This window comes from Homo sapiens, chromosome 1 (assembly GCF_000001405.40).
Source record: "Homo sapiens chromosome 1, GRCh38.p14 Primary Assembly".
Taxonomy (NCBI): domain Eukaryota; kingdom Metazoa; phylum Chordata; class Mammalia; order Primates; family Hominidae; genus Homo; species Homo sapiens.
The window spans coordinates 190,797,067-190,803,317 of NC_000001.11; the positions used below are offsets into that span (position 1 = coordinate 190,797,067).

Below are 6,251 nucleotides of genomic sequence, written 5' to 3' on the forward strand. Positions count from 1 at the left end.
TCTGTACACCAAACCCCTGTGACACACAATTTATTTATATGACAAACCTACACATTTACCCCTGAACGTAAAATAAAAGTTGTTTTTTTTGTTTTGTTTTGTTTTGTTTTTTAATGAAGAAATGTAGCAGTTTCTCACGGCATTGTTGGTAACAACATGCTTCTAAACTCTTGGTTGAGATAGTAATGGTGAACTTTCTGAACTTTGATTTCTCAGTTCTTCTAATATTTTTCTAAATCTCAAAGTCCCATTAAATTCCATTCCTGCTCAAAACTGACAGATCATATTTTAATTAGAAAATGGACAAGAACCATGATCTGGTTCACTCCAGCCTGGGGCCCTCCTGACCTGGGGCTGCCCAGGCGCTGAACAACTACCCTTGGCACCCAGGAGAACCAGACACTGGTAGTAGCTGGAACCCTGTGGGACTGTCCTGCCCACTTTGGCCCTGTCCTGCCCACTGTGGCCCTGGAGGCTGAGGTAAGTGATTTCTGGACTATGTACATGGCCTGGCTCAGCTCTCAGTATATAAATTTGCAGACCAATGTGAATAGGTAACAACTGAAAATGGTATTGGAACAGTTGGAAGGTTTGCACAGGAAAATTTGGGAGATGTTTATTACAGTCTGCCTGAAATTGAGACAAAATTAAACAAATAAAATGGATTTTGGACATTGGAAAGGGTGAAAGCTGCTACTGAACTTTGTTCTCTTCTATCAGGAGAAGCAACCAAAATTAAAGAAGCTCTTGCAGAAAATCCAGCACTTGTCAACAAATCTTGTTATGAATAGAGTTGGCTGATCAAGGTGACACTCAGTAACCGTTAAAAACTAGATGGATTAATGAATGAAGATATATATAAGAAATATGTGAAATCAACCAAGGAGTAAAAATGAAACCCCTATAAAAACTATTCTGAGGAAAAGTAATGAAAAAAAAGAAAATGAACAAGAAGTAAGATAATCAAGTAATAAAGTGATGTTTTAGGGTTACATATCATTCTGAACAAAATAACAAAAAAAATTAATTTGGTATAATTTACACTTATTTTCTCTTCAGATATATTCTTTAATTAATATGCCATTTCAAACCCTTACAAGTATGAATTTTTAAAACTATATTCTTTCTTTTTTAAATAACAGTGAGCTATTGAAAACTCAAAATCTACCGAGTTGACCTTTCTGTTAAATCTGTTGAATTCACTTGATATAATTAAAAAACATACATTGTAAAAGAAAATATAGAATCAAACTTAGTGTGATTAGCATATGATAAAATGATAATTAATGTAATAAGTCTTCAAAGCTTTCCCTAAAACTTTTGATAGATCAAATAATATTTTAGCTCTTATCCTTGCTTGATGAGCACACATCCTAATTCATGATAATCAACTTATACTGTGTAAAACATCTTCAGAATGTTCTACAACAATTAGTGATTTTATATTTGAACAGTACCATATTCCATCTACTTATCTATCTGCCTAAAATTAAATAATTAGTCCTCTTTTGCAAGTATGCCAATGATTCTCAGAAAGTAAATTGGGAATATGTCTTAAGTTACATTTTTTTTAACTTGGTTTTCCAATTAGAGTTAAGGAAAACTCTTCATCCTCCTACTGTTTATTTTTGTTCTTTCGTTATTTCTCTCTTTCTTTCCCTCTCTGTTACTCTTATTATTTTTGTCAAAACATTGACTAACATCAGAGATAGGTTTGTAATTATCCACTATGGAAATTTGGAATGATGTTGTCTGCATTTAACAATATTATTGTTTACTCTCTGGCTCTGATTCCAAATAGTATGCTTATACAAATACCAAACGTTTGCTGTGAGTGTTTACTTACTCACATGCATATATAGTATAAGGCCTATATTTAGCAGTTTATCCTTTATTAAAGTAAAATTTTACCAATAATGAACACATAAGTGGTTAACTGTTACTTTCTCTAGTAAAGCAATCTTCATTTATCCTCTTCAGCTCTACCACCTAGAAGACATAGGACTTGAGCACATGAACTAAGTTACTGAGTATTTAGCATAGTAACAAGACAATGATTAATGCTCAGAATAAGAGGATACATTTATAACCATCAGTTCTTCAACTGCTCTTTGAATGCTTTTGTATTTCTTTGTTGTGTTTATGTGACAAATAAATGGTTAGTACTATAAATGAGATAGCGGCAAGCCATATGTATTGTTCCTGCTCACTGAAGTTAGAGTACATATTAAAGTATAAATATAACCATGTATCTTCTTGTCCTAAAATTCTTCATTGGCTCCCTTTCTTCAGGATGAAGTTAAACCATCTTATTAAAGGCTTCTGACTTGGATGCTTTGTCTTCCTCCTCTGCTTCATCTCTTTACACTTTACAATAAAACATATCTATTAGGCTGACTTCCTAGTTGAAGGCAGCAGAATCCATTCAAACTAGTTTAAACAGAAAAGGAAGTTGCTTTATTTTTGCAAAAAGACCGCCTAATATGCATAAATGGTAGTAGAAAAACAGTAGGAAAAAAAGTAAACCATAATTTTTTTCCTCTTAACATTCACAAAAAATAACTAAAAATGGATCAAAGATCTAAATAAAAAACTAAAACTCTAAAACTTCATGAAGAAAATATGAGAAAATATTTGCAAATGCTTCAGATACGACACAAAAGTAGAAACAATGAAAGAGTAATATTGATACTTGACATCTACAAATGCTAAAATGAACAAATTTCTTTTTTAGGTCAATTATACAAACACGGAAAGACCAGAAACAGACTGGAAGAAAATATTTGCAAAACATGTGTCAGGAAAAGGTTGTGTATCCTATATATATAACTAATTTTTGAACTCATTTGTAAGATAATCAACCTGATTAAAAAGAAATGTGCAAAAATGTGAGCAGCATTTCACCAAATATGGTGTGTGTGTGTGTGTGTGTGTGTGTGTGTATGTGTGTGTGATGCATAAGCATGTGGAAATATACCCAACATTGTTAATCATTTGAGAAATACAAACTAAACCATAAGAATACACCATCACATAGTTGTTAAGATGGCTAAAATTACAAAGTTTGCTAATACCCAGGGTTGTTAAAAGTGTGGATCAACTGGACCTCTCATTCATTGTTGGTGGGAATATAAAATGCTACAATCAACTGGGAAATAAATAGTTCAGCAGTTTCCTATTAAGTTAAAGATACACTTATAAACAGTCAGTGATTCAACTCCCAGATATTTACCCAGCAGATATGAAAAATATCCATACAAAGCTTATATCCGCACAAAACTTACACTCCCCATAATGGAAAAAAAGGATCTCTGCTTTAGATCTAGTTGTTAGAGAAAGTCTGTATAAGAATGCTTTAACTTAAAGCTTGATTGGAAGGAAGAAGAAAGCCATGCCAAATCTAGGAAAAATATTAAACACTAAACAAGTAGCTGGCACAAAAGCTCTAAGATAGTAACAAAAGTGGCTAGAAAGAAAGCTAATATTTCTTTAGAAGAATGAGCTAATATAATTATGGCAGGCAGTGAAATTTTCAAGAAATATGGAAGCCATACCAAAGAAAATTCTAAAGCCCAGTTGTAGAATTAAAAATCAACCATCAGTATTTTCCAACAACAGTGTAACTAAAAATATTATAAGCAACAGACAACAGTATTCTGACTTCACAAATATCCAGATTGTGTGTTTATATTATAATTCCTTCTCTATGTATACCATGTAAAACCTCCATGTATCTTAAAAGACAGTGATGTTAATATCAATACTGGCAGAAATAACTTGACTGGTATATAATTAATTGTCCAATCTACCTGGGCCTGGTGGCTCACACCTGTAATCCCAGCACTTTGGGAGGCTGAGGCAGGTAGATTACTTGAGCCCAGGAATTCAAGACCAGTCTGGGCAACATGACTAAACCCCGTTTCTACAAAAATTACAAAAATTAGCCTAGCTCGGCATGGTGGTGCATGCTTGTAGTTCCAGCTACTCAGGAGATTGAGGTGGAAAAATCAACTGAGCCCAGGAAGTTGAAGCTATAATGAGTCATGATTGCTCTACTGTACTTCACCTTGAACAACAGAGTGATAACCTGTCTCAAAAAAAAAATTGGTCAATCTAATGCCACATTATATTTTGCTTTATATTTGGGGTATATTTTATTTCATAGTTTATTATTTTTCCCTTCATGAGTTCTAATAGTTTTCTCCTCGACCTAAGGTTAATCCACTTTTACCATATGCTTATCATCTAGTGCATAGAACCTCCCTGTTTGTCAAAGCACTCTAATTGTTGCTTTTTATTCATTTCAGAATGAATGTTTTCTATATGCCTGCTGCAATGCATATCTTTTCCTGTTACTTATTTTCCTTGAACTCATGGATTAGAGTTTCTCTTCTATATTTTTTGTTTGCAATTTTCTTCCTTATTTGTTATAATTCACCTTCAATTAACTTGTTTGGCTAAAGTATATGAAAACAAAACCTTTGGAATTCTTGCACATGCAAAACTGTTACTATGATGCTCTCACATATGTTTGTATAATGTGTATAATTGCTTACTATACATATTAATTAAAGATTCAAAATTGCTTTCTATAAGAAGCTTGATTCACTGTCCCCTAGCCTCCTATTTGGCTTATGAAAATTCATGCTGTTGATGCTAATATAGTTTTGGCAGATTACATCACATTTCTAGTTAAATTTAAGTCAAAGACAGTTATTAATAAAGAATCTTAAAATGTGAATAATGAAGAAATTTTCTCTGATCAGAAACAACTATCTCTATTATCTCATTCTAAAAGTTATTGGCTGTTATTTAACCTGACTCAACTTTTCAAAATAAACCCTAATAGATAAACATTATTGTGTGTTCAAACTAAAGCAATTCATATAGTTTTTCCCTAAAACAATAAAAAGTGAGACAAAGCCTTCTGTAAAATATACTTCTGAACAAGTCAGTACAAAATAAACATATCCTGAATTTCCATCTTCTTAAAACTGGATACTTCATATTCTCATGTCATCATTAACCTTAGTGACAAGGCTAAGGATAGATGTTTGCAATTTCAGTTAGGGGTTGTTACTTCTAAATCTCAAGCAGTCAAGCATAAACACATGTTAACTTTGGGAAACTTAACCAAATGATTCAAACTCCACTGGTAATGAATGATGTAAAGGCAAAGTGGCTCTTCACAAAAAGGAGGAAAGCATCCAGCTCTCCACATACTGACCGTGTATTCTACTCCTAGGCATTCTGCTGCATCTGCTCTGGATGAAGCCTATTCCCCAAATAATAGGAGTAGCCAAATAATAGGAGATGCCTTTCAGATTGGTTAATAGGTAACACATACAGTTAAATAGAAGGAGTAAGTGCTAAGGCTTACCAGCAGAGTAGGACGACTACAGTTAACAGTAATGTACTAAATCTTTCAAAATACCCAGAAAAGAGGACTTGCAATGTTCCCACCGTATAGAAATGATACTCTAAATCATTTCTTAGATAGTCTAAATCATTAGAGAAAGGATACTCTAAATGTCTTGACTTGATCATTACACAGTCTACGCATGTAACAAAATATCACATGTATCCCATAAATATGTGCAAATATTAGATATCAATAAAAATAAATAAAATATAAAATAGTAGAATTTTCAAGAATAACTTTTTTAAGAAAATAGGGACAAGATAACATATTGACTTTGAGTTATAATTTTTGTGAAGAGTTGTTTTTATTAAAAAGTATTTCAGGTTATTTAACTAAATAATTTTTATTCATTTCTGACTGTATTCACAAATGTTACAAGTCTGCATGAAAGTTATTAATAATTACATGTCTCTTATTCCAGAATTACAAACAGCTAATGAAATTTTGCTGGGAATCTCACAAGCTCAAATGTAAGAATTTTTTTTTTATTTTTACTTCCAGAGAACCTACTAAATAGACTAAATAGAAACCTTCAGTTTATAAAATTTTAAAGTGCTCTCTCCAAATCCTGCAGAGGTATATTACAAATGATGGTGGAAGCTAATATTACAATGAAAAGCAAATTCAGTTGTTATTATTTTTCTCTTTATTGGGAAAGTAAAAACGCATGCATTATACCCCTACACACATATATTTACAATTTCAAAAATTAATTTAAGATAATGATAGAAATTACAGAATTCACTTACTAAGGATAATTAAATAAAACCAAAACCAAAAAAAGATAACAAATACAGTAATATCCGTGATAGGATAAAGTTATGTATGT

The 6,251-nt window shown here is 32.2% G+C and overlaps 1 long non-coding RNA gene across 1 annotated transcript in view; it reads left to right on the forward strand.

Annotated features, from left to right (window-relative positions):
- Positions 1-4,592, forward strand: part of LINC01720 (long intergenic non-protein coding RNA 1720) — a 176,769-nt gene extending 172,177 nt beyond the window's left edge. The window contains exon 5 of the long non-coding RNA NR_033922.2: positions 2,735-4,592. This is a non-coding gene — a long non-coding RNA (long intergenic non-protein coding RNA 1720). The remainder of the gene's footprint in view (positions 1-2,734) is intronic.
- Positions 4,593-6,251: the final 1,659 nt, after the last annotated feature.